This window comes from Homo sapiens, chromosome 1 (genome assembly GCF_000001405.40).
Source record: "Homo sapiens chromosome 1, GRCh38.p14 Primary Assembly".
Classification (NCBI taxonomy): Eukaryota; Metazoa; Chordata; class Mammalia; order Primates; family Hominidae; genus Homo; species Homo sapiens.
The window spans coordinates 46392317-46419159 of NC_000001.11; the positions used below are offsets into that span (position 1 = coordinate 46392317).

At 54.6% G+C, this 26843-nt stretch overlaps 1 protein-coding gene across 1 annotated transcript, besides 1 other annotated feature; it reads left to right on the forward strand.

Moving 5' to 3' along the window:
- Positions 1889-2402: an enhancer, noted in NCBI's record as "H3K27ac-H3K4me1 hESC enhancer chr1:46859877-46860390 (GRCh37/hg19 assembly coordinates)". NCBI's record gives its function as "activates a minimal SCP1, AML or CMV promoter by ChIP-STARR-seq in naive H9 embryonic stem cells {active_cell/tissue: H9 hESC(naive)}" and the evidence as "EXISTENCE:reporter gene assay evidence [ECO:0000049][PMID:30033119]".
- Positions 2001-21529, forward strand: FAAH (fatty acid amide hydrolase). The gene is made up of 15 exons (NM_001441.3): positions 2001-2227; positions 9775-9888; positions 12698-12832; positions 13056-13189; positions 13272-13478; positions 13722-13762; positions 13928-14052; positions 16143-16268; positions 16785-16882; positions 18082-18181; positions 18498-18538; positions 19296-19335; positions 19827-19935; positions 20759-20904; positions 21131-21529. The coding sequence occupies exons 1-15, from the start codon at positions 2033-2035 to the stop codon at positions 21257-21259; spliced, it is 1740 nt and encodes a 579-aa protein (NP_001432.2). The 5' UTR covers positions 2001-2032; the 3' UTR covers positions 21260-21529.

Below are 26843 nucleotides of genomic sequence, written 5' to 3' on the forward strand. Positions count from 1 at the left end.
CATTCTCCTGCCTCAGCCTCCTGAGTAGCTGGGACTACAGGCGCCCGCCACCACGCCTGGCTAATTTTTTTGTATTTTTAGTAGAGATGGGGTTTCACGGTGTTAGCCAGGATGGTCTTGATCTCCTGACCTCGTGATCCACCGGCCTTGGCCTCCCAAAGTGCTGGGATTACAGGCATGAGCCACCACGCCTGGCTTCTGTCTTTCTGTCTCTTTCTCTCTCTGCCTCTCTTTCTCTCTCTTTGCCTCTCTCTTTCTCTCCAACTTCCTCTCCCAGTTTCTCTTTCCTCTCTGCTGGTCTTTCCCTGCCTCTGCCAGCTGCTTATGCTGCTGTTCTCCCCTCTCCTTCCCCTTCCCCTAGGGAAGGGACCGTCAGGAGTGCAGCTACTTTTTCTTCCCCGAGAAGAAAGGAAAGGGGAATTCTGAATATTTTTCTTACTACCGGAGGTTTGTGTGAGGTTTTTGATCCCCTGAAATTTGTGGAAGGCTCAACACCTCAAACCAGGGGGTATCTTGCCTTGCCTGACCTGGAAGGCTCAACCCCTCAAACCAGGGGGTGTTTTGCCTTGCTGCCCTGGAAGGCTCAATCCCTCAAACTAGGAGGTGTCTTGCCTTGCTTCCCTGGAAGGTTGACCTGTTTCCTCCCTTTCCCCCTCTGAAGGTCCTTTGCACACTTCCCACTCGTGTTGTCCTCTCTGGCTGCTCCCCCAAGGGAGAATTAGGCCCCCCTCAGCATTGGCATTCCAGTAGAAATCCCACCGCAGGATCCTCCCTAAGCCATATGAGGTAGCTACGGAAACGTGGAGAGGACCCACTCACTCCGTCCAGCAGTAGGACTTGTCATCATCCACACGAACAACACCACAGGTAGGGTTGTTTGTGATCATTCACGCACACACACATTTAGCCCTCCAGAATTTGACCACCAAGGAAGTACCTTACCGGCTCCCTCGGCTTCTTCCTTTGTCTGTGCACAGAGTTGTCTCTGCAGTGTGTGAGGATGCTTTACCCTAGGTTGCCTGCTGGTTTCTTTTCACATTGCTGAGAGCTCAGGTTATTTCTTGCACTGGGTGAGTCCTGATTTCTCACCCCTGAGGCCATCACAAGAGGGTGGGGCATACCTCCTCAGGAGAGAGAACCAGAGACTGCCCCTGAAGGGGAATGTAATCACGAGCAAGCCCCCAAATTGTTATAAATAAAGTTTCCCCCCAGTGCCGCAAAAGAAATAGCACTCGAATATAAAATTTTCTTTTTTTTCTTCTCAGCAAGGCAATTTACTTCTATAGAAGGGTGCGCCCTCACAGACGGAGCAAAGGTGAGCGCACACCTGGACAAGGGAGGGGAAGGTGGTTCTTATGCCTGACCCACGTGATTCCTGATGCTGTGTCCTTCCCCTGTTGGCTAGGGTTAGACCTATAGGCTAAACTAATTCCGATTGGCTAATTTAAAGACAGTGAGGGGGTGAGTGGTTTGGCGGGAAAAATGGTTACCGCAGAGCAGGAAATCGGAATGAACCACGGTGAAGAATGAGTGAGGGAGGAGCAGGTAATCGAAAAATGTTGCTTTATGAGGAAGTTAAGTTTAAAAGTAGAAGGCAAAGAATTGAAGATACTGACATATTGATTCTTTTAAGATAAATTTAGAACTCATATCTAACAGCTGGCATGTCTGGCATGGGGCTCCGGCTGGGGCGCAGTCTTCAGCATTTGGGGCTCTGGGGTGCAGGGGGCAGAGGACGGCCGGGGCTGTGGTGCCCAACCGGTGCTAAACTCAAGCTTGGGAGGTCGCCCACGAGAAACAGTCGCCCTTCCCCACCCGCCTGCTCGGCTTGGCGGGGAGCGGGATGTCGCTGGGGGCGATGCCAGGCGGGCCGCCTCTGATAGCCTCTAGGCTCTGGCGCGCTTCCCCGCCCCTCCCGCGCAGGCGGGCGTGGGATCCCGGCTGATCCAGTCCGGGTTTTGCGGCGGAGCGGGCGGGCTGCGCGTGCGGCGGCTTCAACTGTCGCGGTAGGCAGCAGCAGGCTGAAGGGATCATGGTGCAGTACGAGCTGTGGGCCGCGCTGCCTGGCGCCTCCGGGGTCGCCCTGGCCTGCTGCTTCGTGGCGGCGGCCGTGGCCCTGCGCTGGTCCGGGCGCCGGACGGCGCGGGGCGCGGTGGTCCGGGCGCGACAGAGGCAGCGAGCGGGCCTGGAGAACATGGACAGGGCGGCGCAGCGCTTCCGGCTCCAGGTGACTGCCGGAGCGTAGTGGGATGGGCGCGGCCTGAGGGTACTCGCAGCGGCACTTTCAGCCGCCGGACCCGCCGAGGGACAGGGGATGGGGCGGGCAGAGCAGATGTGTAACTCTCCAGAATCTCTCCTTGCCCTAAGATATTCCGCACTTTCTGAGCCAGGTAGAGCACGGGGGAAGAAAGGAAACGGTAGTGTCAAGGCAGGTGGTGGAAGGCCTTTCCCTCACTGGGTCAAAGAGGAGTTTTGCTTTGTGCCAAAGAATCTCACGATTGCTGCCTATTGGAATGCGAAAACGCAAGCGTGACAACCAGTGGGATGCCAGGGGTTGAGGACTTTGGAATCGCAGAGTGTAATGGCCAAGGGGATCTGGAGAGCTTAGAGTTTTGTTTTTTGTTTTTTTTTGTTTTGTTTTGAGACGGAGTCTCGCTCTGACTCCCAGGCAAGAGTGCAGTGGTGCGATCTCGGCTCACTGCAACCTCCGCCTCCCGGGTGCAAGCGATTCTTGCTGCCTCAGCATCCCCAGTAGCTGGGATTACAGGGGCCCGCCACTACGCCTGGCTAATTTTTGCATTTTTAGTAGAGACTGGGTTTCACCATGTTGGCCAGGCTGATCTCAAACGCCTGACCTCAGTTGATACACCTGCCTCGGCCTCCCAAAGTGCTGGGCGTGAGCCACCGCGCCTGGCTGAGTTCAAGCTTCTTGATTTGTGCATTTGGATCCTAAGAGGGAGCCAGAAAGAAACCTGCCAAGTGCACAGGGAGATCTTGGCAAAGCCAGGCTAGAAGGGAAGTCTCTCTGGCTCCTGCTGTGGTGTCCAACCCCTGGCAAGCCCTTTCCATGAGCAGGTTTAGTTCCAGCCCTCCGTGGGTGGTCTGTCAACAAGCTTTTCTCCCTGCGCTGCCTTTGGATCACCTCAGTATGTGGGTTTGGAGGCGTGGAAGGGCCTGGCTGAGGGTTTGGAAGATGTGGCTTGAAGAGGGGCTTTTCCTCTGGGTGTGTGAAACACTGACCCCAGTTAAAGCCTTCTTATGTGCTGAGAGAGGGAGGGCTTGCTGTATCTGTGGGACCTGACAGGTGGGAAGGCTTTACAGGTTGGGAACCGCAGGACTCAGGAGGGTGTGCCTGGGTGGGAGACAGAAAGAGTCACAGAAAATTGTGTTCAGCAGATGTTCCGCAAGTGATTTTTGAGTTGGGGCAGAGCTGGAACTAGAACCTAGGTGCCCGCTGCACTCTGCAGCCACACTTTCGTGGAGAGGAACAGGAGAGAGATATGAGGAAGGCACCTTGCATGCCAGCCCAGGGTGTAGCCCTGCATGTTGAAGGGGGCCAGCCCCTCCACACCTGTGGGTATTTCTCCTCAGGTGGGACAAGAGACTGAGAAAAGAAATAAGACACAGAGACAAAGTATAGAGAAAGAACAGTGGGCCCAGGGGACCACCGCTCAGTATAGGGAGGACCCGCGCCAGCACTGGTCTCTGAGTTCCGTCAGTATTTATTGATCACTATCTCTACCATCTCGGTGAGGGGGATGTGGCAGGACTATAGGGTAATGGTGGGGAAAGGGTCAACAGGAAAACATGTGAGCAAAGGACTCTGTGTCATAAGTTTAAGGAAAGGTGCTGTGCCTTGATGTGTATGTAGGCCAGATTTATGTTTGACTTTATACAAGCATCTCAGTGCAGTAAACAACAGTATTGTCACCAGCATGTCTCACCTCCAGCCATAAGGTGGTTTTCTCCTATCTCAGTAAATAGAACGTAGGATCGGGTTTTACACTGACACATTCCATTCCCAGGGACGAGCAGGAGATAGATGCCTTCCTCTTATCTCAACTGCAAAGAGGCCTTCCTCTTTCACTGATCCTCCTCAGCACAGACCCTTTACGGGTATCGGGCTGAGGTATGGTCAGGTCTTTCCCTTCCCACAAGGCCGTATCTCAGGCTGTCTCAGTGGGGAGAAACCTTGGAGAATACCCAGGCTTTCTTGGGCAGAGGTGCCTGCAGCCTTCCGCAGTGCATTGTGCCCCTGGGTACTCAAGACGGGAGAATGGCGATGACTTTTTGCCAAGCATACTGCCTGCAAACACATTTTTAACAAAGCACATCCTGCACAGCCCTAATTAAACCTTGAGTCAACACAGCACATGTTTCTGCGAGCATAGGGTTGGGGCTAGGTTTACAGATTACCAGCATCTCAAGGCAGAAGAATTTCTCTTAGTACAGAACAAAATGGAATTTCTTATGTCTACTTCTTTTTACATAGACACAGTAACAGTCTGATCTCTCTTTTCCCCACACATGTGTTGCGGTTTTGGCTGGCTGTAATGTATGAATTTACTCCAAACCATCCCTGGGGCCAAGATATCTCATATTTATTTAGTAAGATAAAAAATATATCTGGTTCCAGCCTCCACTCACCAAGCTGGCTGAAAAGTCCACCATCAGTCAGTTTTTAGGGTTTCTTCCTTCCAGAGTGAGAGGGCCCTGGTGGTCAACCCAAATTGGCCATCTCCCCTACACAAGCACAGGTTCTTCACTGTCTAGTTGCCCTCTCTGGCTGGGCGCTGGAGGTCCTCCTTAGAGATCCTCCTGTTTATCCCTGGCTCTGTGCAGCCAGCTGAGTTCTGCCAGCTCCAAGAGCAGCGTGGGCAGCACTAGCAGGGATCTGCTCACAGCTCTTGCCTGCAGAACTCCCCTCCTGGTTGCAAGGAATCCACCTGGCTGGCAGGGGTGTGGGATGGTAGCAGGATGGGTCTTCCTGCACTTCGGCTCCAAACAGCAGCATCTATATGGTTTTCCTCTGGAGCAACTGCTCTTCATTATTTTTACGAACAGATTATTCCAGGACAGAAGTTTTGGCTCTGAAAGCTTGGCTCTTTCAGGAGGAGAAGCGGGAAATTACCTTTCAGGTTTCCAGTGATTGTGGTTTTGAGTAATCAGCAAAGGGGTGGGGTCCTGATTGACAATAGCTTTGTAGGCTTTGCGGGGGAGTAGGATTTTTTTTTGGTTTTTGTTATTTTTGTTTTTTGTTTTTGAGACGGAGTCTTGCTCTGTCGCCCAGGCTGGAGTGCAATGGTGCGATCTCGGCTTACTGCAACCTCTGCCTCCCAGGTTCAAGCGATTCTCCTGCCTCAGCCTCCCGAGTAGCTGGGATTACAGGCGCCTGCCACCATGCCTGGCTAATTTTTGCATTTTTAGTAGAGACGGGGCTTCACCATGTTGGCCATGGCTGGCCTCGACCTCCCGACCTCAGGTGATCCGCCCGCCTCGGCCTCCCAAAGTGCTGGGATTATAGGCATGAGCCACCGCGCCTGGCCAATGCCTGGCTAATTTCTGTAGTTTTAGTATAAACGGTTTCGTCATGTTGGCCAGGCTAGTCTTGAACTCTTTTTTTTTTTTTTTTTTTGAGATGAAGTCTCACTTTGTTGCCCCAGCTGGAGTGCACTGGTGCAATCTCGGCTCACTGCAACCTCCACCTCCCGGGTTCAAGCAATTCTCCTGCCTCAGCCTCCCTAGTAGCTGGGGTTACAGGTGCCTGCCACCATGCCCGGCTAATTTTTGTATTTTTTAGTAGAGATGGGATTTCACCATCTTGGCCAGGCTGGTCTTGAACTCCTGACCTCAGGTGATCCCCCTGCCTTGGCTTCCCAAAGTGTTGGGATAACAGGTGTGAGCCACCTCACCCGGCCAGGACGTGGGAGTTTTAGCTGAACCCAGCCCAGGCTTGGGAACAGCTCTTTCCCCCGCCTCTCCTCCCTTCTGCCTACAACTCCTAAGGCACCCTTCTGTTTGGCTCTGGAGTCCTTGAATGATGGGCAGGTAGGATCTGTGACTGTCTGGGCAACCTTTCTTCTGGGGCTCTTAGCCCAGCCCTGAATCACAAGGGGGCACCTGAGATAAGCAGGGCTCCAGCAGGCCCTGGGAGAACACAGCGATTTGTAGTAAAGCTCCTGTCTGATAGATTCTGGACAAAGCGATTTGGCAACCAAGATTCTTTTTTTTTTTTGAGTCAGAGTCTTGCTCTGTTGCCCAGGCTGGAGTGTAGTGGCTCAATCTTGGCTCACTGCAACCTCCGCCTCCCGGGTTCAAGTGATTCTCCTGCCTCAGCCTCCTGGAGTAGCTAGGACTACAGGTGCCTGCCACCACATCCAGCTAATTTTTGCATTTTTGGTAGAGACAGGGTTTCGCCATGTTGGCCAGGCTGGTCTCGAACTCCTGACCTCAGGTGATCCGCCTGCCTCGGCCTCCCAAAGTGCTGGGATTACAGGTGTGAGCCACCACTCCCGGATTCTTGGCTGTGTCCAAGGAGGACACAGCTGGATGAAGGGGTACCTAAACACCTTCTGAATTTTCACAAAATAGTTCACCTCTCTCTAAACTCTTGAGCAAATCTAGAGAAAAATGTGTTTCTGGTAATTCTGTTGACGCTTCACCCATTTTTTCCCACCCTGCCCCCTGAATAAGTTTTGATATCTTTTCTAGACCGAAGAGAAGGACCACCATCAATAGAATAGTATAGCTGGGAGAGACATCACAGAACACCTATTTATGCCCTTATGCCTTTGTACATGCAGTTTTGTTTTACCCTGAATGGTTTTTCCTACATCTCTTACAACCCGCTTATCAATCCCACTGGCATTGTGGTTCAGAAGGAGAAAACAAAACAGATGGAGGAGGGGCAATGCCTCCTAAGTGATTGGTAGAGTATCCCTCTCTTGAAAAATTGTGCATGCAGGTGGCCACAGGTTTAGATGTTACCTGTATACTATACTTCCCTGCATTCTCCGCAAAATCAGGTTTCCGCATGTTCACTGATTGGTCTTCTGGAGGTGCAGACTTACTTTGGTGTCTAGGAGAAAATGTCTCAGCTGCCTGACACTAGTTGAAGATTTAAAAATAGCTGTTAGCAGCTGTGTCATTAACTGTCAACAGGCAAGAACATAGGAAAGAATGAAAATGTGTGCTGAGCGTGGAGGGGAGCACATTGCTAGCTGCTAGCTGCCGTGCACAGGCACTCTGTGGGCGCCTTGTAGCGAGGTCGGGGGAGTTGGTGACCGGACTGTCAGGTGGCAGTTATTCCAGGGTGGTGAATGCTCTGCTGATTTCGATGTCCTTCTCCATACTCTTAGGCATTTTTTAAAATACAATGAACCTGTATTTATATAATGAAAACAAAAATAAAGCAAAATTTGATTTTCATTGTGAGATGGGAAAGGCAAGATGCAGTACTGTGTGTATAGTATGATTCCTTTGTGCAAAAAAGAATATATATAGACAACTGTTGACATGGTGGGTTTTTCATAAATATTTTCTTTTCCTGTAAGAGTACACCAGAAACTGTTAATTATAGTTTTCCTTTATAGAGGAGGGACTGTGCAAGGAGAACCAGGGGTGGAGGGAATGCTCACTTTTCATTTTGTATACCTTTAAAGAATATATCAAGAGGATTATCTAGTGTGTTTGGGGAGAAGTCTTGAACCCATTTTTTCTTCTTTGTAGCTCCTTGTGTTAGAAAAAAAATCCAAAGTAAGTACTCTATCAGTTCAATGAATTCAGGGAAGTGCTCCTGACACTGAGGACATCAGGGGGCAGAGGCTGTGGCATGTGCTCGGAGAGGGCAGGCGCCAGGCTCTGGGGTGTGGGGGGTGGGAGGGGGCAGTGGTGCCTGGGTGGGGAGAGGTGCACATGAGTCTGAGAGGACCACAGCTTGGAAGCACCTCCTGGAATATGCTCTGGAGCCTGTGGTGTGATGAGATGGGGATTTTAAGGGGAGAGGCAAGGCCAGGTTGGGTTTTGCACTGTCTGGCCCTAGTGGAAAGTGTGGGTTGGAGGTGCAGGACCTGGGCAGGGCAGCAGTTGGGTGGCCGCGTGTGACCTAGGAGACAAGGATGAGTCTGAGGCCCGGTGAGGGCCTTGGTAGAGGGGATGGAGAGGTGACCATTTTTCAGAGCTACTTAGCTTGGTGACTGGATGCAGGTGGTGGTGGGAAGGAGGAGCCAGAAAGACACCTGTTTCATTTCCTGAACACCTGGATGGATGGCGGGGCCTCCCCTGAGTACAGGGTACAGGATACATAAGGAGGAGCTGGTCAAAAGTCGGGCAGGTGATGAGCTTAGAGGAAGGACAGGGAAGGTGGACAGGTGACAGGAATAGCCCAGTGAGCTGGTTTGGGCTCCATTGCCTCGGGCTGGGTAGGGGATCTGGGGGATGTGGGATGAGTGGAGAGCCTGGAGTCAGAGGTGCTTAGGGGAGGAGTGGAAGCCAGGGTAGGGGAGGAGGGTAAGAGGGGAGGGGAGGAGGGGAAGGGTAGAGGGGAGAAGGGGAAGCAAGGGGAGGTGAGGAAGGGAAGGGGAGAAGGGAAAGGAAGGGGAGGGGAGGAAGGGAAGGGAAGGGTAGAGGGGGAGGAGGGGAAGCAAGGGGAGGGGAGGAAGGGAAGGGTAGAGGGGGAGGAGGGGAAGCCAGGGGAGGGGAGGAGGGAAAGGGTAGAGGGGAGGAGGGAAACCAGGGGAGGGGAGGAGGGGAAATTGGGGAGGGAAGAGGGGGAAGTGGGGAGGGGAGGAGGGGGAAGCAGGCCAGGGGAGGAGGGGGAGTAGGGGGAGGGGAGTAGGGGGATTAGGGGGAGGGGAGGAGTAGAAGCAGGGTTGGAGGGGTGGGAGGAATGGAAGCAGGAGGAGGGGAAGCCTTCTCCCAGAATCAGAGAGGGAAGAGAAGGTACCCAGAGCTCTGTCTCTCCCCACATCTGGCATCTTCTTATCCTTCAAATCACAGCTGAAATGTGGTTTCTTCAGATAGGCAGCCTTTAAGAACTGGAACACTCACTGTGAGGGTCTGCGGCTTCATTCTTGAAGTCAGTGAGACCAAGAACCCACCAATTCCGGACACAGAATGAATGTGTAAACCCTTCCTTTTGGGTGTGGCCTTCAGTCACAGACCCAGCCTCCCAAGATGGGGTCTTCTTGTTTTTGCCCTTCCCTGCTAGAGGTTGGCAACCCCCTGAGTAGTGTTCAGAGCTGCTCTGTGGGTGTGGGGATGGCATGGGGTCAGGTGCAGGCAGATGGCTGGTGGGCAAGAAGGCACCTCTCTCTCAGCCTCAGTTTATCTGTGCAATGGGAATGGCAGTAAGACTTAATCAAAACATGGATGACATCAGCGTGGTGTTGGCACACAGAAGGCAGCCACTGCTGGTGTATATTTGTAGTGGTTTAATCATCAGTCTGGAGCTAGGCACAGTAGCATGTGCCTGTAGTTCCAGCTACTCGGGAGGCTGAAGTGGGAGGATCACTTGAGCCCAGGAGTTCAAGTCTAGCCTGGGCAACACGGCCAGACACTGTCTCTAAGGAAAAAAAAAACCTACTTGGGCAGGTCGGCTCGCTGGGCACCCCTTCAACAAGCTTCTGGAGGAGACAGAGCTGCATTCTCTAGGGATGGCAAGGGCCTGCCCAGGCTGGGCCATGTCAGAGCTGCTGGGGCATGGGCCACTGGTGTCTGCTGCAGGCCCATGAGACTTCGGCGAGTAGGGGACTGATCCGAGTTTGTTCCCCACAGAACCCAGACCTGGACTCAGAGGCGCTGCTAGCCCTGCCCCTGCCTCAGCTGGTGCAGAAGTTACACAGTAGAGAGCTGGCCCCTGAGGCCGTGCTCTTCACCTATGTGGGAAAGGTAAGGCCAGCCAAGGCCAGCCCCTCCCTGGGAAAGGTAAGGCCAGCCAAGGCCAGCCCCTCCCTTTCCCCTCCCTCTGTCCGCACAGGCTGTGGGGAAAACCTGGCCTGGAGTTAGTCCTGCTGGGGGCCATGGTGGGACCTACAGTGCCAGGGACTGCCAGGGAGGGAAGGAGCCAGAGCGTGTGCGTGTGTGTATGTATGTGTGTATGAGACACTGAGCATGCTGTCTTAGCTAGTAACCTGGCTTTTAGCCCAGACTTCCCTCTCCCTCCTGCCTCCACCCCATTGGGCAACAAGTCTGGTCTGTTCCCTTCTTTTTTTTTGAGATGGAGTTTCGCTCTTGTTGTTCAGGCTGGAGTGCAATGGCACAATCTTGGCGCACTGCAACCTCCACCTCCTGGGTTCAAGCAATTCTCCTGCCTCAGCCTCCCAAGTAGCTGGGATTACAGGCATGCACCACTACACCCGGCTAATGAAAAGAAAAAAAATTTTTTTTTTTTTTTTGAGATGGAGTCTCGCTCTGTTGCCCAGGCTGGAATGCAGTGGCATGATCTTGGCTCACTGCAGCCTCCACCTCCTGGGTTCAAGTGATTCTTCTGCCTCAGCCTCCTGAGTAGCTGGGAGTACAGGCACCTGCTAACACACCCAGCTAATTTTTGTATTTTTAGTAGAGATGGGATTTTACCATGTTGGTCAGGCTGGTCTGGAACTCCTGACCTCAAGTGATCCACCCGCCTCGGTCTCCCAAAGTGCTGGGGTTACAGCTGTGAGCCACTGCAGCTGGCCCCCAACTAATTTTTTGTATTTAGTAGAGACGGGGTTTCACCATGTTGATCAGGCTGGTCTCAAACTCCTGACCTCAGGTGATCCACCCGCCTCGGCCTTCCAAAGTGCTAGGATTACAGGCGTGAGCCACCATGCCCGACCCCGTCTTTTTTTTTGAGATGGGAGTCTTGCTCTGTCGCCCAGGCTGGAGTGCAGTGGCATGATCTTGGCTCACTACAACCTCCACCTCCCGGGTTCAAGTGATTCTCATACCTCAGCCTCCCGAGTAGCTGGGATTATAGACATGCACCCCCATGCTTGGCTAATTTTTGTATTTTTATTTGGCCGGGCTGGTCTGGAACTCCCAACCTCAGGTGATCCTCTGAAAGTGCTGGGATTACAGGCGTGAGCCACCGCGCCTGGCCTGTTCTCTTCTTTTACCCAGCCCTCTCCTGTCTCCATCCCCTTTGGCCACCCTGGCCCGCCACCACCATCTCCCGCCATGCCCAAGCACCAGCCTCCTGGTCAGGTGCCCTCTTGTGTCCCCAGCTCTTCAGGCCATCTCTTGTACTCCTCCTCTGTGTGTGGCATCACCTCTGGCCAAGGCCTTCTGGAGCTTGGGTGTCAGCAGCTCTGCACTGGCTTGGGTGGGGCTCCTTTACCTGGAAGGCTGTTTCCCTCTTCTTTGCCCCTGTCCGTGCCACGGGCTCCCCTGGCTGAGCCTTCGGGGCTCAGAGCAGGAGGCACCGTCTTCCATTCGCCACCTGAGGTAGGGTTTCCTCTTCCAGGCCTACTCTCATTCTAATAGCACATTTCTCATCACAGTGTCAGGCTTGTCTTCTCTATCTCTTTCCCATGGGGGGTCTTTGTGGACAGAGCTTGTCTCATTTGTCTTTGAACCTTAGTGCTCAACATGTTGCATTTCACGTAATAAATGCTCAAGAAATATGTTTGAAAAGAAAGGGAGGGAGGGAGGAAAGAAGGAGACAAATTGTGCTTTGAGTGTGGCCTGCATGATTTCTTGAAAGGGTGTGGGACAGTGAGTGTGACCCCTAGGCAGGTGAACTTGTCTGGGTGCAGTGTATGTGACAATGCTGTGGGGGCTGCAGCTGAGGAAGCGAGCGCATGCTGGGCTGGTGTCACTGAGAGGGGGCACGTACATAGTCTCAGCAGATGGTCTTGCTTCTTCCCTGTCAATGTCCCTGAAAGGCTCCTGCCCTTCCTAGTTAATCTAGTCTATCTGGTTAGATTAGCCTTCTCTGTTCCTGCCTCGGGTACCCCGGGGACAGATTTTGCACATGCCTGAATATGGCAACACAGCCCACCCTGTTTCCCCCAGATACTCCCCAGGAGCAGGAATATTTACTGAAAGCTGCATCTCACTCTGCCCTCACCTTTCCTTCTGTAGGACCCTGTGTGGTGAGGTTTGAGCATTCTAGGCAGATTTCCACTATTAGCATGTTCTTCCCTTTTGTCAAGCTCCTACTCCACATGGCTTGATTATCAAATTCAAGATTTCCTGGGTAAGGGGAGGCTTGACTGGGCTACATGTGGGGAAGGCGTGGGGTTGAGGAGAGACTGCTGGGCTCCGGGAGGCAGGAGTCTGGTCTAGTCCTGCTCTGTGGTTGCCCTTCAGTGTGACCAGTGATGGGGCGCTGCCCCTGTCTGGTTTCTGTCTGCCTCACTGGCAGAGATGTGGCTTGGGGGAGGTGAGGGAGTGGCCAGTGGTCATCTTCCTCCCAGCTCACCCCCTACCTGGGGGGCACCTGAGGCCAGTATCTTGCTCCCTTGAGTGTCCCGGTTGTGCCCTGGTCCTGGTTGAAGGCCAGAGACAGCCAGGATGAGGCCTGGGCCAAATGTCCCTAGTGAGGCAGATGCTGAGCCCTAGGTCATCCTCTGTGCCCCAGGCTCTGGGCCATGTTGCTGGTTACCCCTCTCCCTGGGTATACTTTAAAAGGCCAGTTCTACATGATGTATATTTCACCACAATTTCTTAAAAAGGCCAGCCTCCTTTTATCTTATGTCTACTTCCCCTTCCTCAGGCCTGGGAAGTGAACAAAGGGACCAACTGTGTGACCTCCTATCTGGCTGACTGTGAGACTCAGCTGTCTCAGGCCCCAAGGCAGGGCCTGCTCTATGGCGTCCCTGTGAGCCTCAAGGAGTGCTTCACCTACAAGGTATGCTCTGCCTCAGCGCCAGGCCTCCATCGTCCCCTCCATCCCTGCCAGCCTGCTCTGCATCTTGGGTCATTTTGGGCCCTTAGAGGAGGTATCAGGTCCAGAGGCCTTCCGAGGGGACACTGGTATACCTGTTTTGGCCTGTGTGACAGTTGTTGGAGTGGACCCTTGGCTGCCCACGGGCCCTGACTCACTCCCTTCTGGTGCCCATCCCTCCTCCCAGGGCCAGGACTCCACGCTGGGCTTGAGCCTGAATGAAGGGGTGCCGGCGGAGTGCGACAGCGTAGTGGTGCATGTGCTGAAGCTGCAGGGTGCCGTGCCCTTCGTGCACACCAATGTTCCACAGTCCATGTTCAGGTTGGGTCTTGGGGTGGGGCGGGGCGGGGCAGGGGCACCGGTCCCAGCATGGCACGGGCTGACCCATTCTTGGCTCCTCCAGCTATGACTGCAGTAACCCCCTCTTTGGCCAGACCGTGAACCCATGGAAGTCCTCCAAAAGCCCAGGGGGCTCCTCAGGGGGTGAAGGGGCCCTCATCGGGTCTGGAGGCTCCCCCCTGGGCTTAGGCACTGATATCGGAGGCAGCATCCGCTTCCCCTCCTCCTTCTGCGGCATCTGCGGCCTCAAGCCCACAGGGAACCGCCTCAGGTAAGGTGGGTGGAGGGCGCTTCTGGGCCCCTCGCTGTGTGACCTTGGCCTAGCTTCCAACCTCTCTGGGCTCCAGGCGGGGATTCGGTCTCCGGGGTTTTGCTGGGAGGAAGCATTACAGTACCACTGGCCGGGCGTGGGTCCTAGTTTCCAAAGCGGTGAGTGTTCAGAGCTGCTCTGTGGGTGTGGGGATGGCGGCGGGTGGCCATTTCCTGTTTCCAGCATCTTATGTTTCTTATCCAGCAAGAGTGGCCTGAAGGGCTGTGTCTATGGACAGGAGGCAGGTGAGGTCCGTGGTGCTCTCAGTGCCCCGAGGAGGGTGGGGGTCGGCCTGACCCGCTTCCGCCCGTGCTTCTCAGGTGGCAGGGCAGTGTCTGGCCCCCAGGCTGCTCTAGGTCTGGGTTCCTCGCTCCTTGTCTGCTTACCTCCCTCACCTCTCTGCCCCACAGTGCGTCTCTCCGTGGGCCCCATGGCCCGGGACGTGGAGAGCCTGGCACTGTGCCTGCGAGCCCTGCTGTGTGAGGACATGTTCCGCTTGGACCCCACTGTGCCTCCCTTGCCCTTCAGAGAAGAGGTGAGCAGGGCTGGGTGGGCATGAATGTGGACCGCTGAACCCAGACAGCCACCCCAGGCCTTGTGGGCAGGCCTTGGAGCCCCTGTCTCCTGAGAACCGTCCCCCAGGCCTCTGAGGCCAGGGCGGGTTGCTCCTCCACAGACGGCCACCAGATGGAGCCCTTGCCTGCATTTGGAAATCCTCAGGCTTTTTTTTTTTTTCCTTTTCTTTCTTTCTTTTTTTTTTTTTTTTTGAGACTGAGTATCGCTCTGTCCCTCAGGCTGGAGTGCAGTGGCGCGATCTCGGCTCACTGCAAGCTCCGCCTCCCGGGTTCACGCCATTCTCCTGGGTTCACGCCATTCTCCTGCCTCAGCCTCCCGAGTAGCTGGGACTACAGGCGCCCGGCACCACGCCCGGCTAATTTTTTTTGTATTTTTAGTAGTAGAGACGGGGTTTCACCGTGTTATCCAGGATGGTCTGGATCTCCTGACCTCGTGATCCGCCCGCCTCGGCCTCCCAAAGTGCTGGGATTACAGGCTTGAGTTACCGCGCCGGCCGGAAATCCACAGGCTTTCAAAGGTGCCCAGCCTCAGCTGCTGGCACCAGGGATGCAGGAATCATTTCCCAGCCTGCTGACCTTCAGCAAACAGCAGCCTTTCTAACAGTATTCCTGTCCACATTTTGGGAGCAGCACGCCACGCTGCCTGCAGACCCCAGCTCATGTAGCCTGTTCCTGCCAGACTTGCTGCTACGTGAGCCAGGGTCTGCAAGCAGCGTGGTGTGCTGCTCCCCAAAATACCACCACAGCAGCCTGTTGCTGAGACAGGCTGGGCTTGTTGCTTTCTGTGGCGAGGCAGCACTGTCTTGCAAAGCCTTAGGATCATCTCAGAGGGCAGGAAGGGTGGGGAGATCTGCTGAGATTTTGAAGTCTGGTTTAAGGTGGATCTTTCAACATGGGGGTTGGTTAAGATTGGTTTAAGTTGGTTAAGATTGGTTAAGATCCTTAATCCCCATGTTAAGGATTGGTGGGCACAGCAGGGTGTGGATTTTGAGGCGAGAGGTGTCAACCGATGCTTCCTGTTGAAGAGTTGGAATGAATCGGAAGGTTATTTGTGTTATGTGTGTTATTTGGAGGAGGTGGGGGAGTGGCCAGTGGTCATCTTCCTCCCAGCTCATCCCCTACTGCGGGGCATCTGAGACCAGTATTTTGCTCTCTTGAGTGTTCTGGTTGTGCTCTGGTCCTGGTACTCTCTCTCTCTCTGTCTCTGTGTGCGTTGGGGTTGAAGGCCAGAAACAGCCAGGTTGAGGCTGGGGCCAGATGTCCCCAGTGAGGCAGGTGCTGGGCCCTAGGTCATCCTCTGTGCCCACTCCAACAGAGTGCAGGAGCTGTAAAGTTAGATTGGTGCAGACAGAGGAAGAGTGAAGTCACGTTAATGTAGACAGTAAGCTGTGTGACGTAAGCCCCGTTTCTCAGCAGTCCAGCGATTGTCTATCTTGTACAGACCTCTTGCCCTCGCCCCAGCCAAGGTTGCCTTGGAAAGGCTGAGGGTTTGTGGACGGGAAGGAGAGTGGGCCTTGGTGTTTCTTGGGAGTGGGGCAGCAGGGCAGATCTGGGCTGGGTAGGGTGAACTCCCCCTCCCCAGGCAGAGGGAGATATTCTAACCGAACCCACGGGGATAGGCAGCCGTGAAGTCCTTCCTCGGAGGAGAGGAGGAGATGAGGTCCCTGTCTGGAAGTCTGGAACAGTTTATCATGAGAGCCAGGACAGGTGGTGGAGAGCCTCAGCTCAGAAGACAGGATGCCTGCATTCCAGACCTGTCTTGTCACTCTGCATTGGGTAGCTTTGGGCAAGTCCCAGTCCCACCTAATCTCCCTATTGAGACCTCAAGCCTCAGTTTCCTCATATGACCAGTAGGAATCCTTATCCTTGCTCTGCCCACCTGAGTCACTGTGAAGGTGTTTTATGAAAGGGTCAGATGCAGAAGGGGCTGGCCTCGCTGACTGCAGCCTCGCAGCTGTGTCTGGGGCTGAGTAGTTTCTCTGATCTCTAGGGGTCCTGCCTAGGGTTGTCTTCTCCTGACCTGCCCCTGTCCCCTGTGTTTTCCCTCCAGGTCTACACCAGCTCTCAGCCCCTGCGTGTGGGGTACTATGAGACTGACAACTATACCATGCCCTCCCCGGCCATGAGGCGGGCCGTGCTGGAGACCAAACAGAGCCTTGAGGCTGCGGGGCACACGGTATGACTGCAGGGTCCTGGAAGTACTGGCATCTCCTCCCCTCACGGGAAGCCTTCCTGGTACCCATGGCTACTCCATCCCTGGCATCCTGGCACTCTGACGATGTTGTCGTCGGGGTGAACTGTGACCCTGTGGGACAAGTATATAGAGGGCTGATCAAGAGTATTGGAGTGAGTGATTGATGGAGAACTTTAGCCCTGTGCTGTGTGATGTGTGAGCACTGCATGTGGGGAGGCTCTTCAGCTCTAAACAGTGGTGCACAGCTGTCCAGAGGCTCCCAGGGCCAGTGGGTTTTGGTCTGGTCATTACACAACTTTATGTGTGGCTCCAGACTTCTCTCATGCTGTGCATTCCACAGTGAGTTTTCATGGGTCAGTAAGGCTGCCTTTGTAGCTCTAGTGAGAGCTATCTTGTGGGCAGGGTTGGTCCAATCCATCCTCAGGGCCGCCCAGACAGCATGGGGATCATGAAGCCAGTTGTTAGGTCAGGAGGCCTTACACCCCTCAATCCCTGCAGCTGGTTCCCTTCTTGCCAAGCAACATACCCCATGCTCTGGAGACCCTGTCAACAGGTGGGCTCTTCAGTGATGGTGGCCACACCTTCCTACAGAACTTGTGAGTGATAGTGGGCTTTGGGGTCTTGGTGGGATCAGACAAGTAGGCAGACCTGGGGGAGCAGCAGGGTGTGGTGATGCCTGGATGGGCCTTAGCTGAATCCAACAAAGGCCTGAGCACTCTGGGCAGGGACCTCGCTGTCCCTCCAGCTGGGCACATTGAGCCTGGAGATCCCTTGCCAGGGTGCCAGCCCGAGGGGAGGCTGGGTTGAGTATCTGTGGCCTACCCCTGATCTGAGCTTGTTGTGAGGTAGGAGGTGGGCAGGAGGTTGCCTCTCTGTTTGGGAAGGATTTGGGCCAAGGGCAGGATCCAGGCAGGAGGGTGGGGGTTTGGACTTGATGCTGTGACTCCAGGCTCTGTCTGACTTGAGCCAAGTCTTCTTTTTGAGCAGGACCTCAGCTTTCTCTCCTGTAAAGTGGGTGGGTTGGACCAGACTCCCTTTAAGGGACTTTGCAGAGCTCATTTTTAGAGAAGTTCGTTCCTCTGGGATGCTTCTAGTCATTAAAGGTGTCAGGGGCAGAGAACAGGCCTGCAAAGGTGCCTCCTGGTGACATACCTCTGCTGGATGGACTGGAACCCTTCAGAACACAGTCCCCCTTCCTCCACTTCACTGATGGAGAACTTGGCCCTGCAGCCTGGAGCTTGGCCCTGCAGCTTCACTCAGTCAAGGGCCCAGCCTGTCATGTTCCTTTCCTTCCCCTAGCAGCCAAGTGTGGTCCAGGCTTCAGTGGAAGGGGTCACTCCTCACTCTGGCCCTGGGAATGAGTCCCCAGGATCAGCTGCCTGAGACCTTTCCCTGAGATCTTGAGCCAGAGATAGCCTCAGAGCCCTGCTTCATGGGCAGCCCACCCTCGATTTCCCCACCTGTGCCTCCAGGCTGTACCTCCCTAAGGGGAGGTACCCTCAGGGAGGCCTCATCAGGGAGATGTTGCCCTCAGTTCTTAGAGCTCTGAGCTGGGTTTGCTGGAGAGGGATACCCTGAGTCCTGCCTTGGGGAGCTCCCGTGGATGTGGGTTGCAGCCCAGGCATCCCAAAGGATCAGCAGAAACAAACGGCATGTTTGGAAGGAGGGAGCTGAGTCTGGTGAGGAGGAGGTGGACAGGATCCCTGCATAGAGAATGGGATTGCTGTGGGCCGGGCGAGCAAGCTGGGAAGGATGTGGGGATGGGAGTGCCTGGACCGAGCATTTTGTTTCCCAGCAAAGGTGATTTCGTGGACCCCTGCCTGGGGGACCTGGTCTCAATTCTGAAGCTTCCCCAATGGCTTAAAGGACTGCTGGCCTTCCTGGTGAAGCCTCTGGTGAGGGCACAAGGAGTGGAGGGGCTAGGATGGCTGGGGGGGAACCTAGGGCCTCCTATCGCATGATCCCCCATGGCCTCCCTCAGCCTCTCTTGGTTTGGGCAGGCATGGCCTCCTCTTCTCTCCAGTCCCCACCCAGACTGCTCTCCTCCTCTGTCCCCTGCGATCTTCAGCCAACCCGCATGCTGAAAGGGGTGCCGACCTGGGCCCTGGGGGGAGGCATGGAGGGAGGGGTCCCCAGTGGCTTGGCCTGAAGAAGGTTGACGTCTGCCGTGGCCCAGAGCTGAGTCACCGACCCTGCGTCTGTCCTGTGCAGCTGCCAAGGCTGTCAGCTTTCCTCAGCAACATGAAGTCTCGGTAAGGGTTCTTCTGTGTCTAGCTGCCGGCCCCTGCCTGTCCTGATCCGAGTCTGGGTCTGGGTAGTTTCTGACAGGAAAGGACTTGAGGGAAGTAGCCTCTGAGGCTGGAAGTGGCCCAGGCAGGGGGGCAACCTTTGTGGCCTTCAGATGGGACTTTGAAGTTGTCTTGGCAAGGTCCAGTTCTGGCTGGAGAGCAAAGGCCTGAGGGGGACAAGAGGATGGGGGAGTTGGAGGGGAGGAGGTTGACCTGGCTGGGGCATGAGTGGAAAGGACCAGGAAGTGGGGGTTGGCCTGGGCCAAGGGTGGGGCACCCGGGAGAGATGCCACTGTTAGAGATCTGAGCTGACCTGAGCTGCGCCAGGCCCTACTTGCCCCTTAGTGGCTGGGGCTGGAAAAGCAGGGCGTAAACCTCCCTGTTTCATGCCCTGACGTCCCATGGACTCACTCCTTCCCTTACCACCAGGCTTCAGGACTGGCAGCAGCTATGGCCTCTCCCGTGTCCTGAGGGTAGCGAGGAATCGGGCCTGGGCTAGTCCTGGCTCTGCTGTGGAGTCACCAAGTGCCAGCCTGTGCCCCTCTGGGGCCTGATTTTCTCATCCAGACAGTAGGGGTTTGAACTTCCCTCTCAGAGCTCCCATGGGGTTGTGAAGGGTCCACGGAGGGGTGAGATCTAGAGGGTTGGCAGTAGGGGTCTGATGTTGCTGATCTCCGTGGCTGTGACCATCATGGCTGGTGACCACACTCCTTCTGCCCAGTTCGGCTGGAAAACTCTGGGAACTGCAGCACGAGATCGAGGTGAGGCCAGAGCCTCTGGATTGGAGCAGGGTGGTGGGGGGAGGGTGGAGTTGGACAGGGTACCCGCTAGCAGTGTCTCGTGGCCACTGCCCCCATGGGGCTCCTAGACTGGCCTGTCATCCCCCTTCCACTCCCTGGACCACCACTTGGGCCCAGCTCTCTGACCCTTACTTGCCTAGATGCCCATCCTTTGAGGCTGGGTCAGCCCCAGGCTCCTGTCCTGGCCGCCTTTTTGCCCCTCTGGAGCTGCCTTTGTGTGGCTCCGCCTCAGCGGGAAGAGGTGTATCCACAATTCATTCTGGAGGCAGAACGACTGATGCCCTCTGAGAGGCAGCACTGCCTGCCCGGAGGACCTGTGTCCCACTGTGGCTCTGTTCAGATCCAGGGGCAGGTGCTGGGGCCAGAGCCACCCCAGCCACAGTCCCTGAGTTAAAGAGCCTGGGGTGGGCTAGGTCTGAGTGCTTTCACCTGGTGTGTTGTGTCCTCCGCAGGTGTACCGCAAAACCGTGATTGCCCAGTGGAGGGCGCTGGACCTGGATGTGGTGCTGACCCCCATGCTGGCCCCTGCTCTGGACTTGAATGCCCCAGGCAGGGCCACAGGTGAGGCCCGACACCCTGCCTGTCCCTTCTGTGAATCTGGCCATGTGCCCTGCAGGGCTGCGAGGAAATGGAAGAAGAGCCCTCTGGGAGGACCCTGCCCTCTCGGGGCCCACAGTCTGGCTGACTGGAGACATGGCAGTCATGTGGGTTGCCCTGGCAGGGATTGATTTTCCTGTCATCAGCACTATTCAAGTTGGGGATCTTGAGTTACAGAATCTAGTTTGGGGAGGTGATGGTTTGAAGTCCAGGTGGGATTTAGATAAATCAAGAAAATAGGGGCCAGGGCGGTGGCTCACACCTATAATCCGAGCACTTTGGGAGGCTGAGGCTGGAGGATCACTTGAGCCCAGGAGCTCAAGAGCAGTCCAGGCAACATAGTGAGGCTCCTGTTGCTACAAAAAATAGAAAAATTAGCTGGGTGTGGTTGCATGTTCCTGTAGTCCTGGCTACTCGGGGGGCTGAGGCAGGAGGATTGCTTGAGCCCAGGAGGTCAAGGCTGCAGTGAGTTATGATCACACCACTGCACTCCAGCCTGGGTGACAGAGTGAGACTGTCTCAAAAAAAGGAAAAGGAAAAGAAAACAGGAACAGCATTCCCAGTGGAGAAAGTACATGGGCAAAGGCATGGGGCAAACATCAGTGGGTTGTCCAGCCCGGCCCTGAAATCTGAATTCCTGGGCTTTGTCACTCAGACCTCAGTCCTGGGAGAGAGCCTTTCTCTGGCTGTAGACACAGGGTGCCATTTCATATGAGGTTTGACTCAGGCCCGGAGTTGGCACTGAAGATTCTCAGGGCCTGCTGCAGCTGCCTGTAATGTGTTCCAGGGGCCGTCAGCTACACTATGCTGTACAACTGCCTGGACTTCCCTGCAGGGGTGGTGCCTGTCACCACGGTGACTGCTGAGGACGAGGCCCAGATGGAACATTACAGGGGCTACTTTGGGGATATCTGGGACAAGATGCTGCAGAAGGTGAGGACTGACCTGCCCCTCAACTGGACTCACTCCCCACCCTGACTCTGGCCGCTGTGGAGGAAACAGTACCAGCACTGCGGGTTTGCCAGCCTTTCTTAAGCAAGACCTGAAGGACTATGGCCTGGCCCTACGTTGTGGCCTCTCTCTAGCTGGGTGCTTCCTGGGCCTGGGGGTGGGGAGTCCTGCCTTGCTAACCCTATCCTGATGCCTGTATCCCCTATAGGGCATGAAGAAGAGTGTGGGGCTGCCGGTGGCCGTGCAGTGTGTGGCTCTGCCCTGGCAAGAAGAGTTGTGTCTGCGGTTCATGCGGGAGGTGGAGCGACTGATGACCCCTGAAAAGCAGTCATCCTGATGGCTCTGGCTCCAGAGGACCTGAGACTCACACTCTCTGCAGCCCAGCCTAGTCAGGGCACAGCTGCCCTGCTGCCACAGCAAGGAAATGTCCTGCATGGGGCAGAGGCTTCCGTGTCCTCTCCCCCAACCCCCTGCAAGAAGCGCCGACTCCCTGAGTCTGGACCTCCATCCCTGCTCTGGTCCCCTCTCTTCGTCCTGATCCCTCCACCCCCATGTGGCAGCCCATGGGTATGACATAGGCCAAGGCCCAACTAACAGTCAAGAAACAGCTCCTCGTCTGTGTGGTTTCTGGGCGTCATCGTGAGGGTGGGGTTTGGAGCCTGTTGAGAGCAGGGCTGGCTTGACTGTGCATACCCAGGCTCCAGCCATGCCAGTCTCCTGCTCCACAACCTCCCCTGGTGCCCATCACCCACAGGAGGGGTGCAGGCTTGTATCCCCCAGCACTTCGGCCGTGCCCCTCCTCTCTCACCTACACTAAGCCCTGCTCTGCTGGACACTGCCCTTGGTCTCCTTCCTTCTTCTGCTTCTTTCCCTGCCTAGAAAGCTCTTTCTGTTCCTCTGCTTTCTATCCTTTGAGACCTGACTCAGATCCTTCTCTCTCCAGGACACCTTTCCTCCTCCCTCTGGGCCCTGGAGTATATGGGCTATTTCTTCCCAGTCTGCCCTGTGTGGTGGGCATTGGTGGGTGTGTCTGCCTGCCTTAGCACACTGGCTTTCCTTGACGGCAGGGAACCCATTGCCACATCTCTGTCTTCTGTGGCCAGCACGGCAGCAGGGGAAGCACTGAGTTGGGTTGCAGAGAGTCCGAAGTGCTGGCCCTGAGCTGCTGCTGTTTGGGAGAGGAGCCCATGGGCCTGGGGAGGCCGGCATGAGACAAGGTGACCTGGTAGAGTGTGCTCTCAGGGCTGGCCAAGGCCTGGATTGCCCTGGGAAGGTTTCCTGAAGGAGGTGGACGTGTGTTGAGTCTAGAAGTTTTCCAGAGACTGAGCTAGGGGTTGAGGACATCTCAGAGAGAAGGGACAGTATGCCCAAAGATCAGGGTGGGTTTGCTAAATGGCAGGCATGTTGAATGGGCACAGGGGAAGCAGAGATATAGGTGAGGACAGATCAAGGTGGACTTGGGCAGCCAGGTCAGGAACTTGAGTTCTGTCTCAAGGACAGTGGGACTCTGGAAAGATCATAGCTCGGCCTGAGGACTAGACTCGTGGGGCAAAACCTGTAGAAGGGTAAAGAAGCTGCTCCATGATCCCTAATTTGGGGAGAGGGGCCTAAAGCCTGAACCTTGGCCCAGGGGTAAAGAGGGGCCCTTTGGGAATTGACAGGATGGAGGTGAGCTGTCTCAGCTCGTCTGCTATCCACCTCTTACTGGACTATGTCACCTGGCTGGTAGAAAGGTGGCATCTGTAGCCGACCCTAGGAGTTTCCTTCTTTTTTTTTTTTTTTTAGCAGAGTTTCGCTCTTGTTGCTCAGGCTGGTGTGCAATGGTGTGATCTCGGCTCACTGCAACTCCGCCTCCTGGGTTCAAGCAATTTTCCACCTCTTGGGTTCAAGTGATTCTCCTGCCTCAGCCTCCTGAGCAGCTGGGATTACAGGCATGCGCCACCATGCCCGGCTAATTTTGTATTTTTAGTAGAGACGGGGTTTCTCCATGTTGGTCAGACTGGTCTTGAACTCCCGACCTCAGGTGATCCGCCCACCTCGGCCTCCCAAAGTGCTGGGATTACAGGTGAAAGCCACCATGCCCGGCTGACCCTAGGAGTTTCTTAACCCCATTAGCCCAGTTGCTTTGCTCTTCCCTGGCCCCAGCCCTAATTCTCCTGCTGGCTGGAGATGTTTCAGAGCCTGAGCCCTCTAGGTAGGGCAGGTCCACGGCTCCTACCTGTCTGTCTCAGATTCTTTCTAGAAGAGTTGCCTTCCCAAGACTTCCTTCTCCACCCTGGTTTTCATACTCCTCCAGAAGTGCTTTGCCCTCCAGGTTGCCACACCCATTGGCGCCTGCACCATCTCCCAGTGCCATCCCTGCCTCTGTGGGGCCATTTTCAGGGCAGAGGTGAGGTCCCAACCTACATGGGGACACCCAGATTGGGACATCTAGGTAGATGCTGCACTTTGCCCTGATTTCTTGTAACCACTGCTGTAATTTTGCCTTTTTCATAAAACCACTACCATCTGCCCCAGCTTCCTCCTCCTGCCCCATTTCTCTCTTTCAGTTACCGATATCTTTGTGCCTTCAGACACGAGGCTGCAGAGTGGAGGTGCCTTCACTCGTTCATTGATTCAGCCCTTGGAGCCTCAGCATGGCCATGTCCAGACCTCAGCTGACCTGAGTCAAGCCTGGGCTTCTGGGGACGTGGACATTGACACAAACACATCTGTTCCTCCTGTGATTAGGGCTGGGGGACAGGATAGACAAGGGGTCAAATGCTGCCAAGGGGAGGGGGAAGTGGTCACTGAGGCTAGTACATGGCCACTGTGTTTCATCTCCACCACCATGCTCTAGTCCAAGCCACCTCCCTCATCTGGACGCTGCAGTGACTTCCCTTCTGGGCTCCCTGCTTTCAACCCTGGCTGCCCTCTAATCCATTCTCCACACAGAGCTGGAATGATCTTTTAAAAGTATAAATCAGGCTAGGCGCAGTGGCTCATGCCTGTAATCCTCGCACTTTGGGAGGCTGAGGCGGGTGGATCACCGAGGTCAGGAGCTCCAGACTAGCCTGGCCAACATGGCGAAACCCTGTCTCTACTAAAAGTACAAAAAGTCTTGACAGGCATGGTGGCGTGCATCTGTAGTCCCAGCTACTGAGGAGGCTTGGAACGTGGCTCCAATGTCACCTTCCCTGCTCACCCATTTATAAAACGGCCTCCTTTATTTCTTTTTCTTTTTTTGAGACGGAGTCTAGTTCTGTTGCCAGGCTGGAGTGCAGTGGCGCGATCTCAGCTCACTGCAACCTCCACCTCCTGGGTTCAAGCAATTCTCTTGCCTCAGCCTCCTGAATAGCTGGGATTATAGGCAAGCGACACCACGCCCAGGTAGTTTTTTTTTTTTTTTTGAGATAGAGTCTTGCTCTGTTGCCCAGGCTGGAGTGCAGTGGCGCGATCTTGGCTCGCTGCAACCTCCCTCTGCCTCCCGGGTTCAAGCGATTCTATTGCCTCAGCCTCCTGAGTAGATTGAATTACAGGCACGCGCCACCATGCCCAAGCTAATTTTTGTATTTTTAGTAGAGACAGGGTTTCACCATGTCAACCAGGATGGTCTTGATCTCCTTACCTCGTGATCTGCCCGCCTCGGCCTCTCAAAGTGCTGGGATTACAGGTATGAGCCACCACGCCCGGCCTTGGTTTCTTGATTATCTCAAGCTGGGCCCTGCTTCAGAGCTTTCATGTTAGCTCTTCTCTCTGCTTGGAACACGCAGCTCCAATGTCACCTTCCCTGCTCACCCATTTATAAAATGGCCTCCCTTGTTACTCTCTTTTCTTTTTTCTTTTTTTCTTTTTTTCTGAGACGGAGTCTTGCTCTGTTACCCAGGCTGGAGTGCAGTGGCATGATTTTGGCTTACTGCAACCTCTGCCTCCCGGATTCAACCAATTCTCCTGCCCCAGCCTCCCAAGTAGCTGGGATTACAGGTGTCTGCCACCATACTCAGCGAATTTTTGTATTTTTAGTTGGGACGGGGTTTCAACATGTTGGTCTGGCTGGTCTTGAGCTTGTGATCTGCCTGCCTGGGCCTCCCAAAGTGCTGGGATTACAGGGGTAAGCCACTGCACCCGAGCCCTTGTTTCTTTCTTTCTTTTTTTTTTTTTTGTTTTTTTTTGACAGAGTCTCACTCTGTCGCCCACGCTGGAGTGCAGTGGCACAATTTCAGCTCACTGCAACCTCCGCCTCCTGGGTTCAAGCGGTTCTCCTGCCTCAGCCTCCTGAGTAGCTGGTATTACAGGCGTGCGCCACCACGCCCAGCTAATTTTTGTATTTTAGTAGAGATGGGGTTTCACCATGTTGGTCAGGCTGGCCTCGAACTCCTGACCTCATGATCTGCCTGCCTGGGCCTTACAGGCATGAGCCACCACGCCCTGCCCCTTGTTACTTTCTAATAGGTTACCCTTTGTTCTTTTTTTTTTTTTTTTTTTTATTAAGACGGAGTTTTGCTCTTGTTGCCCAGGTTGGAGTGTAATGGCAGGATCTTGGCTCACTGCAAACTCTGCCTCCTGGGTTCAAGCAATTCTCCTGCCTCAGCCTCCCAAGTAGCTGGGATTACAGGCATGCGCCACCATGCCCAGCTAATTTTGTATTTTTAGTAGAGACAGGGTTTCTCCATGTTGGTCAGGCTGGTCTTGAACTCCCGACCTCAGGTGATCCACCCTCCTGGGCCTCCCAAAGTGCTGGGATTACAGGTGTGAGCCACCTCGCCTGGCCACCCTTTGTTCTTTGTAGCATTATCACTCTCTGAGCTCTTTGATGTTTTTTTGTCTCCTCCACTAAACCATAAGCTTCCTGAGAGCTGTGCTTTGTCTTGTTCATCACTTGTTCTTGGCTTAGAGGATGGTGCTCCACAAATTCTGGGATGATAAAGTGTGGCTGTGTGAGGGGCCAAGGCACTGTGCTGGGTGCTGGCAGTGACAAATGAGGCAGCCCTGGCCCCTGTCCTCGTGGAGCTCACATTCTGGAGGGATTTGTTGAATGAACAGAAGGGGGACAGAGAGTTGTGCTAATGAAGACCTCTAAATATTTAATGTCTGGAGTGATAACATGACTTTTGATCCGGAAAAAAGGGGAAAGGGAATTCTAGACCACATTTACTGAGTACCTACTATGAGCCATCTACTTTCTGGGCACTTCACAGTCATGCCATTTAATCCTCTGTGAACCCTATGATGGGCATTTTTGCCCCCCTTTTACAGAAAGTTTACGTATCTTGCCCAGGGTCCCACAGCTAGAAGTTGGGGGCTTGGAACCGAAAGCTAGGCCAGTCTGTCAGCAACTGCATGAGGTCTTTCTGTTGATGCCAAGCCCCAGTGAGTACGATGGCCAGAAGAGTGAGAGCACAAATCAGCCTCCTCCTCATACCTCTCTGACCACCAGTGTGCTGGTGGCTACTGCCTGTTTTCATGGCCTTTCCCCTTCTCACCGGGTCCACTGCCACAGCTTCTTTTTTTTTTTCGAGACGGAGTTTCGCTCTTGTTGTGCAGGCTGGAGTGCAATGGCGAGATCTCAGCTCACTGCAACCTCTGCCTACCGGATTCAAGTGATTCTCCTGCCTCAGCCTCCCGAGTATCTGGGATTACAGGCGTGTGCCACCATGCCCAGCTAATTTTGTATTTTTAGTAGAGATGGGATTTCTCCATGTTAGTCAGGCTGGTCTTGAACTCCTGACCTCAGGTGATCTGCCTGCCTTGGCCTCCCAAAGTGCTGGGATTACAGGCGTGAGCCACTGTGCCCGGCCTGCCACAGCTTTTTGCCTCGCTTCCCTGGGCTCCAGACTGGACATCTCCAACAATCTTTCACATGGCAGTTAGGCAATCTCATGCTTAAAATCTTTGGACTCACTTGTGCCAAGTCCAGAAGCCTTGTTATGACCTGCAAGGCC

Excerpts from the sequence above, each read along its gene's own strand:
- FAAH (NM_001441.3), top strand. The coding sequence starts at position 2,033 with ATGGTGCAGTACGAGCTGTGGGCCGCGCTGCCTGGCGCCTCCGGGGTC. Across the intron at positions 13,479-13,721 it reads CCCACAGGGAACCGCCTCAG|CAAGAGTGGCCTGAAGGGCT; the intron begins GTAAGGTGGGTG and ends TTTCTTATCCAG. Across the intron at positions 18,539-19,295 it reads CTCAGCAACATGAAGTCTCG|TTCGGCTGGAAAACTCTGGG; the intron begins GTAAGGGTTCTT and ends CCTTCTGCCCAG.